The 13,527-nt window shown below is 41.7% G+C and overlaps 1 protein-coding gene across 4 annotated transcripts in view; it reads right to left on the bottom strand.

Moving 5' to 3' along the window:
• PIWIL3 (piwi like RNA-mediated gene silencing 3) overlaps positions 1-13,527 on the bottom strand; it is a 55,687-nt gene that overhangs the window by 12,504 nt on the left and 29,656 nt on the right. For all 4 annotated transcript variants that reach the window (NR_045649.2, NR_045648.1, NM_001255975.1 and 1 more), the window contains 2 exons: positions 4,171-4,355; positions 2,547-2,619 (listed from right to left, as the gene is read on the bottom strand). Coding sequence is in view for 2 of the 4 variants with exons in the window: in NM_001255975.1 (NP_001242904.1) it covers positions 2,547-2,619; positions 4,171-4,355 (258 nt within the window). In the remaining 2 variants the exon portion in view is untranslated. The remainder of the gene's footprint in view (positions 1-2,546; positions 2,620-4,170; positions 4,356-13,527) is intronic.

Raw genomic sequence — 13,527 nt, forward strand, 5'->3', positions numbered from 1 at the left:
CTACTTGGGAGGCTGAGGCAGGAGAATGGCATGAACCCGGGAGGCGGAGGTTGCAGTGAGCTGAGATCACACCACTGCACTCCAGCCTGGGCGACAGAGTGAGACTCCGTCCAAAAAAAAAAAAAAGAAAAGTTAATCACTTATGTCTTTAGATAAATGCACACTTAGACATAGACATATAGCTTAGAAGGTATATAAGCTCTGAAAACTTTGTAATTTTGAGTTGGTCTGGAGATAATTTCCAGGCCTTCTCCCTGTAACTCGTTACAGAAATAAAAACTCTCTTCCACCCCAGTCTGCATCTCATTATTGGACAGTGAGAAACAGCAGCCCGGCCCCTCAGTTTGCTCCGGGAACACTTTCATTTCCTCTATTTCTGCCTTATGTATCCCAACTCGCATTTATAGGATTTTAATTCTTTATTATTCACATACAGGTGTTTCCTCATCATGACTCATTTAAAATAGTGATCTGCAAGCTGTCTGTACCTACCATAAAGAAAACCGACACATCCCCAAACATCAAGTACTTGTGAATGCCTGGTCATGTCATTACCAGTCACATTTATGAAGTTCACATTTTATTTTAGGTACAACATAAATATGTGGCCTGCTATCTTTTTATTACATCAACGTATTTTCTTACACAGCCTTGTTCTGCCTTTACCTCATGCCACATGGCTTGATTCCTAGTTACATACATGAATCCCCTTCTATTGCTGGTCTATGGAGATTTCCATCTGTACTGGAACAGTTTTATAAGTGATTTTTAGTCCCTATTATATGGATCATTTCCATCCATTTGGGGTACATAAGATTGTGGACACGCTTCCCCCATGCCATCTGACATAATGCCTTAAAATATTTAAGGCGATACCTTAAGAAATTGTTCCAAAAGGCAAATCTAGGATGAATAAATGAGTAAATGAGTAAAAGTAGGACAAGTTCTTCTTCAAGAGGCAGAAGTTCTTTAAAGAAAGCCCCACATTAAAAAGGTAATCTTGAGGCCGGGTGCGGTGGCTCACGCCTGTAATCCCAGCACTTTGGGAGGCCGAGGCAGGTGGATCACGAGGTCAGGAGATCGAGACCATCCTGGCTAACACAGTGAAACCCCGTCTCTACTAAAAATACAAAAAATTAGCCGGGTGTGGCGGCAGGCGCCTGTAGTCCCAGCTACTCGGGAGGCTGAGGCAGGAGAATGGCATGAACCTGGGAGGCGGAGCTTGAGCCGAGATCACGCCACTGCAGTCCAGCCTGGGTGACGAGTGAGACTCTGTCTCAAAAAAAAAGAAAAGGTAATCTTGAGCTTTTCAGGCAGATACCAAATGAGCAAAGAGATTCCTGTTATGAGAATAAGCTGGAATTCAAACAGCTGCCAAAGCCCCTTTTACTCTGATTCTAATCCTAGAACAGGAAGCTTTGCTGGTTCCCAATGGGGGCTTCTCTTACCAAGAGGGGGCCAGGAAAGAATAAAACAATACTCAAGTAACAGGAAGCAACACATAAAACTTAAGTCCAACAGGATTTCAAAATGCAGACATTACATTTCAGAATGCGTACGGCTCACATAAGGTATTCTTCAGGGTATCCTACAAGGGTTCCCTAGGGGCAATTAAAAGAAGAAAGTCTAGGCTTCATGTAAAACACAATAGGAAAACATTCTGGTTTCATGGTCAAGAAACAAAGACATCTTCCCACCTCTACCCCTCAAGATCATCCTGGGGGAAGAAAGAAGATGAACTAGTGTAAAGAGCCCAAGAAAGAAAAAGAATTTGCTGTAGTAATTCAGATACAACATAATGACAACTTGGTCTAAGACACCAAATGGAAGAAAGGAAAGAACAGACTCCTAGAAAAATACCAGGCAACTATTGCCTGGCACAGTGGCTCATGCCTGTAGTCCCAGCACTTTGGGAGGCCGAGGTAGGCAGATCACTGGAGGTCAGGAGTTCGAGACCAGTCTGGCCAACCTCATCTCTATTAAAAATATAAAAATTAGCTGGGCATGGTGGTAGGCGCCTGTAATCCCAGCTACTTGGGAGGCTGAGGCAGGAGAATTGCTTGAACCGGGAGGCAGAGGTTACAGTGGGCCGAGATCATGCCACTTCACTCCAGCCTGGGCCATGGAGCAAGACTCCATCTCAAAAACAAACAAACAAACAAAAAACAACAACAACAAAAAAAAACAGGCAAGAAGAATAATAGGCTAGAAGATCGTGATCACAGACTTGGCAGGTTACACCTGCGGGTAAAAGTAATGAATGTGATTATTAATACCCACACTACTTTACATTTGTATGGTGTATTTTTTCAAGTTAGGAGATTTTAAAAGTAATTACGAGTCTCCAAGTCTGAGAAAATTAGCATACGATTGTGATACTCAGGAATAGCTAAACCATGAAAGTTTGTATTCAGCTAATAGCAGGTTAATCTGCTTTCGTTGGCAAGTTCAGGAAACCAACAACAACATTTTGAATTCTAAAATACTTATCAAGATGGTTTGGAACAATAACTAAAAGATTGTACATGTATCAACTAGACACTTACCATCTGCAGTGTTGGTCTAGTATATTTCCGTAATGTGTCTATATAGGAGTTAGCATCACCATCTACTTCAATCCTAAAAAATAAATATAGCATCCACATCCAAAAGATACCAACCAGTGAAACAAACGTTTCACCCAGCAAATTAAATACAAAGTAAGACATGATAAAATACCAAGATATGCATTTCAGTAGAAAGTATGTTTAAAAGAAAAAAGACAGTAGACTTTCAGTTTCCGATTCTACTTGTAAGGAGCTTTGACATCACTACTCTGCCCTAACAGCAAGTCAAAAGCTAAACAGACTGAAAACAATGAACAGCTCTCCTAGGATTTTCAAGAGAGGTGAGGACACAGGGCAAATCACTGCCTCCAATATTGAAGAGACAAATAAGCAAAAACAAGGAGTCCTGGCTAGCTGGAGCAAAGACTCTGGAAACTTCCCAGGGAAACAGTTCCTGGGTCAGACCACCTGAACTGTAACTGATGAATTACTGCAGGCTCAGCATGGACAACTGTGAGGGTTAAAAATTCCAGGTATACCCAGTCACAGGAGGGTCCCCACAGTTTTGAGAGTTTTACCTCTAGGAGCTTGACCAGGTTCTCACAGTAAAAACCAGAGGAAAATTGTCTAGTGCTTCCAGCAGGGGGAGGGGAAAAGAATTTATTTTGAAATACACCAGGGTCCTGTGTTCCTAACAAACCCTGCCCTCAGGAGAAGCTAGTTAACCAGAACATAACTTTTTTTTTTTTTTTTAGAAAAAAAAACCAAAAAAAACAACGTTTAGGTTCAGGGGTACACATGCAGGTTTGTTATATAGGTAAACTTGTGCCCTGAGGGTTTGTTGTACAGATTTTATCATCCAAGTACTAAGCAAAAGAAGCCGAGGCTGAGAAGACTACATACTGTATGAGTCTAACTAGATGACATTCTAAAAAGGCAAAACCATGGAGACGGTAAAAAAATAAAAAAATAAAAAAATAAATAAATTAGTGGTCCTCAGAGGTTGTGGTGCAAGGGGCAGGTGGTGGTAGGAAGGGATAATTAGGTGAAGCACAGAAGACTTTTAGGGCAGTGAAAAATACTGTGCATGAAACCAATGGTGGATACATGTCATATACATTTGTCCAAACCAGTAGAATGTACAACTCCAAGAGTGAACCCTACTGTAAACTATGGACTTTGGGTGATTATGATATTTCAATGTAGGCTCATCAGCTGCAACAAATGTACCACACTGGTAGGGGATGTTGATGGGGGAGGCTATGCATTATTGGGGGCAGGATATATATGAGAAGTCTCTAATCTCCTCTTACTTTTGCTGTAAACCTAAAACTTCTCTAGAAAGTTTTTTAAGTTCAGTTTTTGGAAACATGCGTGAGAATTCTTAATATTCTCCCATCCATTCACATCAAGTTCTTAATTCTCATACCTTCTACAACATGTATCTTAATAGCCGTAAACCATATATCACAAAGTCTGTTTTAATATTTTTTGACTAGAGATTAGACTTTACAAACTCTAAGGTTTTGATACAGTGACCAATTCCTACAATTTAATATTTTAGTTATTATACTTTAAGATTGCTAACAATCGATTTTCAAATGGGAATTTCTGCTCTACTTACATTTCTGCTGGTTTCATAGTTATGCCCATGGGGGCTGTGACACTCTGTAGATGACCCTTTAAGGACATGGCTTCTCTGTGACTGCTCCTGCTATAGAGTATGAGCCAACTATGTAGTGGCATTGCATTAAGTAAGGGTAATTCTCTTATTTCTCTTGACCAGTCTCCTTGTGAATTGGCTTTAACCTGGAAAAGAATTATAAGACATGGCATAAAACTTTATTTTAAAGATCAACTTATCTGAGATCCTGTACGCTGTAAATCCGTGCTATCTCCTATAGAAATGTTACAATTATAAACTTGAATGGCCAATGTAGGTATTTTTTTCATTAAGATATAGGTTAATAGGACTGAAATTCTATCCTAGGTGTTAAAAATTTTAATTGAGAGGCCATTGCAGGGGAGATGGCTCCAGAGCTTTAGGTTCCTATGTAGGCAAAGCAAACTCCAGTATAAACAGTAAAGCAAAGCCAGAGACTTTACCAATCAGAAACTTCCAACTACCAACTAGGGTCCTTCCACTCTAATAGATCAAATGTATTTTGTCCTATTTTGCATCGGCCTATAATAGCTCACTGTTCACACTGCTGCAGCAGAACTCTCTGAACCCCTTCTGATTGAATGCTGCACAATTGGTGAATCAGTCTTAGTGCAAATAAACTTAATTTTATTTGAAGTTTCTTTTGGAGCTTTTCAGTGCTGTTAGACTCAGACTGCCTCCTCATACTGTTCTATCACAGCATGTGCTCCCTAAATATTTAGTCTTTTAGTGGGAACTTTATTCCAAGGAATGACACTTGAGACATTTAACCAAGGATGGAGTAAGATGGCCAAATAGAGGGCTCCACTGATCATCCCTACAAGAGGAACACTAAGTTTGACAACTATTTGTACAAAGGGAGCACCTTCATAGGAACCAAACATCAGGTGAGCACTCAGTGTCTGGTTTTTACTTTATATTGCTGAAAGAGGCACTGAAGGTAGGAAAAACAGTCTTGAATTGCTGACGTCACCCTTCTCCCACCCCTGCATGGTGCCAAGAATCTGTGCAGTTGGGAGAGGGAGAGCACAGCAACTGTGAGGCTTTGCATTAAAATCAGCACTGCCCTGTCACAGCAGAAAGCAGAACTGAGCTGTCCTCAGCTGATGGCCACCCATAGGGGGAACATTTGATTCTGGCCCTAGCCAAAGGGGAATTTCCCAGCCCAGTGGTCAGAGCTCGAGTTCTGGAAAGCCTCAGCACCATGGGCTGGGGTGCTCTGTGGCCCTAAGTGAACCTGAGAAACAGTTTAGGCCACAAAGACTGCAATCCCTAGGCAAGTCCTAATGCTGATCTGAGCTCAGAGCTCATAAACTAGGGGTGGAGGGGTAGGGGACAGGATCTACTGAGGCACCAGCCAGGGTAGCTAAGAGAGTGCTTGCATCATCCCTCCCCCAACTCAATGGCAGCACAGCTCAAAGCTCCAAAAGAGAGCCCTTCTTTCTGCTTCAGGAGAAAAGAAGGAAGAGTGAAGACTTTGTCTTGTATCTTGGATACCAGCGCAGCTACAGTAGGACAGGACAACAGTCACGGTTGTGAGGCTCCCATTCTGGACCCTAGCTCTTAGATGACATTTCTAGACATACCCTGGGCCAGAAGGGAAACCTGTTGCTTTGAAGGGAAGGACCCAGCCCAGGCAGGTTTCATCACCTACTGACTAAAGAGCCCTTGGACCCTGAAGAACCAGCAATAATACCCAGGTAGAATGTGAGGGCCTTGGGTGGACTCAGACATGCTGGCTTCAGGTGAGAACCAGCATATTCCCAGCTGTTGTGGCTATGGGGAGAGACTCCTGCTTGAGAAAAGTAGAGGGAAAAGTGGAAGAGTAAAGGGGACTTTGTCTTGCACCTTAGGTGCCATCTCAGCCACAGTGGGGTAGAGCATCAAGCAGGCTTTTGGGGTCCCCAATCCCAGGCCTTGGCTCGTGGATGGCATTTCTGGACCTGCCTGGGGCCAAAGTGGAGCACGCTGCCCTGAAGGGTAAGTCCTAGGCCTGGCAGCATTCACCGCAAGCTGACTGAAGAGCCCATGGACCTTAAGGGAACAGTGGTAGTAGCCTAGCAGTACTCCCTATGGGCCTGTGGTGGTGGTGGCCATGGGGTGAGGCTCCTCTATGTGTAGAAAGAGAAGGGGGCCGGGCGCGGTGGCTCACGCCTGGAATCCCAGGACTTTGGGAGGCCAAGGCAGGTGGATCACTTGAGGTCAGGAGGTCTGGCCAACCTGATGAAACCCCGTCTTCTACTAAAAATATAAAAATTAGCTGGCTGTGGTGGTGGGCGCTGTAATCCCAGCTACTTGGGAGGCTGAGGCATGAGAATCGCTTGAACCCAGTAAGTGGAGGTTGCAGTGAGCCAAGATTGCACCACTGCACTCCAGCCTAGGCGACAGAGCAAGACTGTCTCAAAAAAAGAAAGAAAAAGAAAAAGAAGGAAGGGAAGAGTGAGAAGGTCTGCATCATGTGATTTGAGTGCCAGCTCAGCCACAGTACAAAAGAATACCAGGTGGGTTTCTATGATTTTTGACTCCAGTCCCTGACTCCTGACTGGCATTTCTGTACCTGCCCAGGGCCTGGGGGAACTTACTGCCCCTGAAGGGAAGGACATAAGTCTGGCTGCTTTACCACTTGATTGCAGAGCCCTAGGGCCTTGAGCCAACATAGCTGGTAGCCTGGTGGTGGTCACAGTGGGCCTTGGGCAAGACCCAGTGCTGTGCTGGCTTCAGGTTGACCCCGTGCAGTCCCATTGGTGGTCACCGCAGGGATGCCTGTGTCACCCCAAACCCAGCTCCAGGCGGTTCAGCACAGAGACACAGAAAGTAAGCAAACAAGACTCTCTGCCTGGTAATCCAGAAGTCTTCTGGATCATATCAAGATCATCAAGGTGATATCACCATGAATCTGTGAGAACCATAGCATTACTGTGCTTGGAATGTCCCCTGATGCAGATATGACTTAGATCACAATACCCAAGTACTTCTGAATACCTGGACAGCCTTCCCAAGGAAGATGAATACAAACAAGCCCAGATGGCGAAGAGAACAATGAAAACCTAACTTTCAATGCCCAAACACTCATCAACTTCCCCAAGCATCAAGACCATCCAGGAAAACACGGACCTCAGAAAATGAACCAAATAAGGCACCAGGCACCAGTTCTGGAGAAACAGATATGTGACCTTTCGGACAACTCAAAATAGCTATTTAAGAGGAAACTCAAAGAAATTCAAGATAACAGAAAGAATTGGGAATTCTAGTAGATAAATTCTACAAAGAGGTTGAAATAATTAAAAAGATTCAAGTAGAAATTCTGGAGTTAAAACATGCAATTGACATATTGAATACATCAGAGTCTCTTAAGAGCAGAATTAAATCAAGCAGAAGAAAGAATTACTGAGTTCAAAGGCAGGCTGTTTGAAAACACATAGAGGAGACAAAAGAAAACACAGAAGCATGCCTACAAAATCTAGAAAATAGCCTCAAAAGGGAAAATCAAAGAGTTACTGTCCTTATAGACAAGGTAAAGAAAGAGATAATGGTACAAAGTTCACTCAAAGAGATAGCAGAACTTCCCAAACCTAAAGAAATATATCAATATCTAAGTATAAAGTGGTTACAGTAGATTTCACCCATAGACAACTACTTCAAGGCATTTGATAATCAAACTTTAAAAGGTCAAGGATAAAGAAAGGATCCTAATAGCAGCAAGAGAAAAATAACATAGAATGGAGCTCCAATACATCTGGCAGCAGACTTTTCAGTGGAAGCCATACAGATCAGAAGAGAGTAGCATAACATCTTTAAAGTGCTGTAGGAAAAAAAAAATTACCCCAGAATAATATACCCAGTAAAAATATCCTTCAAACATGAAGGACAAAGACTTTTCCAGACAAACAAAAGCCGAGGGATTTCATCAACACCAGATCTGCCCTACAAAGAAATGCTAAAAGGGGTACTTCAATCAGAAAAAGAGGAATGTTGAGGAGCAATAGGAATTCATCTGAAGGTACAAAACTTACTGGTAATAGGGCCGGGGGCGGTGGCTCATGCCTGTAATCCCAGCATTTTGAGAGGCCGAGGCGGGAGGATCATGAGGTCAGGAGATCGAGACCATCCTGGCTAACACAGTGAAACCCCATCTCTACTAAAAATACAAAAAAATTAGCCGGGCATGGTGACAGGCACCTGTAGTCCCAGCTACTCAGGAGGCTGAGGCAGGAGAATGGTGTGAACCCGGTAGGTGGAGCTTGCACTGAGCCAAGATGGTGCCCACTGCACCCCAGCCTGGGGGACAAAGTGAGACTCGGTCTCAAAAAAAAAAAAAAAAAATTAGCCGGGCATGGTGACAGGCACCTGTAGTCCCAGCTACTCAGGAGGCTGAGGCAGAGAATTGCTTGAACCCAGGAGGTGGAGTTTGCAGCAAGCCAAGATCGTGCCACCACTGCACTCCAACCTGGGCAACGGAGGGAGACTGTCTCAAAAAAAAAAAAAAAATTTCTAAAAGCTCAATTAGAAATGAAACGGGAGGCTGGGCACAATGGCCCACTCCTGTAATCCCAGCACTTTGGGAGCCCGAGGCGGGTGGATCACAAGGTCAGGAGATCGAGACCATCCTGGCTAACATGGTGAAACCCCGTCTCTACTAAAAACACAAAAAATTAGCCAGACATGGTGGCAGGTGCCTGTAGTCCCCGTTGCTTGGGAGGCTGAGGCAGGAGAATGGCATGAACCCGGGAGGCAGAGTTTGCAGTGAGCTGAGATCATGCCACTGCACTCCATCCTGGGCAACAGAGCAAGACTCCATCTCAAAAAAAAAAAAAAGAAAGAAACTGGAGATATTACAACTGATACCACAGAAATACAATAGATCATTCAAGGCCACTATGAACACCTTTACACACACAAACTAGAAAACCTAGAGGAGATGGATAAATTCCTGGAACCGGAAATATACAACCCTCCTAGATCAAACCAGGAAGAAACAAACTCTGAACAGGCCAATAACAAGCAGTGAGATTGAAATGGTAATATAAGATGCCACCAAAAAAAGTCCAGGACCAGATGGATTCACAGCTGAATTCTGTCAGACACTCAAAGAAGAATTGGTGCCAATCCTACTGAAACTATTCCAAAAGACAAAGAAAGAAGGAATCCTCCTAAATCATTCTATGAAGCCAGTATCACCCTAATACCAAAACCAAGAAAGAAGAAAACAAAAGAAAACTATATAGATCAATCTTCCTGGTGAACATAGATGTAAAAATTCTCAACAAAATACTAGCTAAATGAATCCATCACCATATCAAAAAGATAATCCACCATGATCAAGTGGGCTTTGTACCAGGGATACAGGGATGGTTTAAAATATGCAAGTCAATAAACGTGCTACACCACACAAACAGGATTAAAAACAAAAATCACATGGTTATCTCAATAGATGCAGAAAAAGCATTTGATAAAATCCAGCATCGCTTTATGATTAAAAACCTCATGGCCAGGCGCGGTGGCTCACACCTGTAATCCCAGCACTTTGGGAGGCAGAGGTGGGCCAATCACGAAGTCAGGAGATCAAGACCATCCTGGCTAACATGGTGAAACCCTGTCTCTACTAAAAATTAGCCGGGCCTGGTGGCATGCACCATAGTCCCAGCTATTTGGGAGGCTGAGGTAGGAGAATCACTTGAACCCAACAGGCAGAGGTTGTAGTGAACCAAGGTTGTGCCACTGCACTCCAGCCTAGCTGACAGAGTGAGAATTTGTTTCAAAAAAACAAAAACAAACAAACAAAAAAACCAACCACCCACAAAAAACAAACCACCTCAGCAAAATCGGCATAGAAGGGACATACCTTAAGGTAATAAAAGCCATAGGATATAAATAGAAACATAAGTTAAAAAGCAAAGGACACAAGTCTCAAATTGAAGAAAATCAAAATTATATCAAGTACTCTCTCAGACCACAGTGGAGTAAAACTGGAAATCAGCTCCAAAAGGAACACCCAAAATCATGCAAATACATGGAAATTAGATAACCCAATGATCATTCAGGAGCAGGTTAACGGTGAAAAGTTGAAAGCATTCCCCCCCAAGAACTGCAACAAGACAGATGCCCCCCGTTTCACCACTTCTATGAAACATAGTACTATAAGTCCTAGCCAGAGCAATCAGACAGGAGAAAGAAATAAAGGACATCCAAATCGGCAAAGAGGAAGTCACACTGTCACTGTTTGCTGATGATATGATTGCATACCTAGAAAACCCTAAAGACTCATCCAACAAAGCTCCTAGATCTGAGAATTCAATGAAATTTCAGGATATGAAATTAATGTAACAAATCAGTAGCACTGCTATACATCAACAGCAACCAAGCTAAGAATCAAATCAAGAACTCAACCACTTTTACAATAGCTGCAAAAAAAAAAAAAAAAAAAGGAATATACCTAACCTAACCAAGGAGGTAAAAGACCTCTATAAGGAAAACTACAACAGACTACTGAAAGAAATCACAGGTGACACAAATGAAAACACATCCCATGCTCATGGATGGGTAGAATCAATATTGTGAAAATGACTATACTGCCAAAAGCAATCTACAAATTCAGTGCAATTCCCATCAAAATACCATCATCATTCTTCATAGAACTAGAAAAAAAAATCAAAAAAATCCTAGATTCATATGGAACCAAAAAAGAGCCTGCACAGCCAAAGGAAGACTAAGCAATAACAAATCTGGAGGCATCATATTATTTGATTTCAAACTATGCTACAAGGCTATAGTCATCCAAACAACATGGTACTGGTATAAAAAATAGGCACATAGACCAATGGAACAGAATAGAGAACCCAGAAATAAAGCCAAATACTTGTAGCTAACTGGTCTTTGACAAAGCAAACAAAAACAAAGTGGGGAAAGGATAACCTATTCAACAAATGATGCTGGTATAATTGGCAAGCCACATGTAGCAGAAAGAAACTGGATCTCATCTCTCACCTTATACAAACATCAACTCAAGATGGATCAAAGACTTAAATCTAAGACCTGAAGCCATAAGAATTCTAGAAGATAACATCAGAAAAACCCTTCTAGACATTGGCTTGGGCAAAGACTTCATGACCAAGAACCCAAAAGCAAATGCAACACAAAGATAAATCAATGGGACTTAATTAAACTAAAAAACTTATGCACAGCAAAAGAAATAATCAGCAAACAGACAACTCACAGAATGGGAGAAAATATTCCCAAACTATGCATATGATGAAGGACTGATATCCAGAATCTACAAGGAACTCAAATCAGCAAGAAAGAAAACAATCCCATCAAAAAGTGGGCAAAGGACATGAATAGACAATTCTCAAAGGATATACAAATGGCCAACATGAAAACATGTTCTAATGACCAGGAAAATGCAATACCGCCTTACTCCTGCAACAATGGCAATTAAAAAAAAAATCAAAAGACAGATGTTGACATGGATGTGGCAAGAAGGGAACACTTTTATACAGCTGGTGGGAATGTAAACTAGTACAACCACTCTGGAAAACAGTGTAGAGATTTCTTAAAGGACTACAAGATCTACCATTTGAACTAGCAATCCCACTACTAGGTATCTGCCCAGAGGAAAAGTCATTATATGAAAAAGATACTTGCACATGCAAGTTTATAGCAGCACAGTTTGCGATCACAAAAATATAGAACCATCCCAAATGTTCAGTCAATGAGTAGATAAAGAAAATGTGTATATTCATACCATGGAATACTACTCAGCCATAAAAAGGGTTTGCAGCAACCTGGAGTTGGAGACCATTATTCTAAATGAAGTAACTCAGGAATGGAAAACCAAACATTGTTATCTTCTCACTCATAAGTGGGAGCTGAACTATGAGGATGCAAAGGCGTAAGAATGATGCAATGGACTTTGGGGACTGCGGGGAAGGATGGGAGGGGGTGATGGATCAAATACTACATGTTCAGTACAGTGTACACTGCTCAGGTGATGGATGCACCAAAAGTACAAATATCACCACTAGAACTTATCCACGTAACTACCTGTTCCACAAAAACCTATTGAAATAAAATTTAAAAAAACAGAAGAAAAATGTTTTAAAAAGCAAACGACAAATTTAAAATAGAGTTTATTCATTTTCTTTTTGCTTGTTTGTTTGCAAGCAGTGTTGTCGGCACCTTAAAAGAAGGGGTTATAAGACAGTATTTGCAAACCTTATGGTAACTTCAAAAATATGCAATGGATACACAAAACAAACAAGTTATAGCATACTAGAGAAAATCACCTTCACTAAAAGGAAGGCAGGAAAGAAAGGAGGAAGAAGAGACTATAAAACCGGAAAACACATAACAAAATGGCAGGAGTAAATCCTTACTTCTCAATAATAACACTGAATGTAAATGGACTAAACTCTAATTGAAAGAGTGACCGAATTAAAAAAAAAAAAAAAAAAAAAAAAAAAAACAATGATCTGCTGCCTGCAAAAAACACTTGACCTATAAAGACTCACATAGACTGAAAATAAAGGCATGAAAAAACACAAAAAAGGCCAGGTGCGGTGGCTCATGCCTGTAATCCCAGCACTTTGGGAAGCCGAGGCAGGTGAATCACAAGGTCAGGAGTTCGAGACCAGCCTGACCAACATGGTGAAACCTGTCTCTACTAAAAATACAAAAAAAATTAGCTGGGCGTGGTGGCACACACCTGTAATCCCAGCTACTCAGGAGGCTGAGGCAGGAGAATCGCTTGAACCCGGGAGGAGGACATTGCAGTGAGCCGAGATCATGCCACTGCACTCCAGCCTGGGCGACAGAGCAAGACTCTGTCTCAAAAACAAAAACAAAAAAAACAGGAATAGCTATACTTAGACAAAATAGATTTCAAGACAAAAACTATGAGACAAAGAAGGTCACTATGCAACAATAAAGTGGTCAATTCAGCAAGAGGATATGACAATTGTAAATATATATACACTCAACACTGGAGTAACCCAGATATATAAAACAAGTATTATTAGAGCTAAGGAGAGATAGTCCCCAATACGATAATAGCTGGAGACTTTAACATCCCACTTTCAGCACTGGACAGATCTTTCAGACAAAAAAGGGAAATGTTGGCCTTAACCTGCACTATACACCAGAGGGACATCGTAGTTACAGAAGATTTCAGCCAATAGCTGCACGATGAACATTCTTTTCCTCAGTACATGGATCATTCAAGGATAGACCATATATTAGGTTACAAAAGAAGTCTTAAAACATTCAAAAGACAAACAAAGCATCTTCTCTGATCACATGAAACAAAACTAGAAATCAAAAACG

The sequence above is a fragment of the Homo sapiens genome, chromosome 22 (genome assembly GCF_000001405.40).
Source record: "Homo sapiens chromosome 22, GRCh38.p14 Primary Assembly".
Classification (NCBI taxonomy): domain Eukaryota; kingdom Metazoa; phylum Chordata; class Mammalia; order Primates; family Hominidae; genus Homo; species Homo sapiens.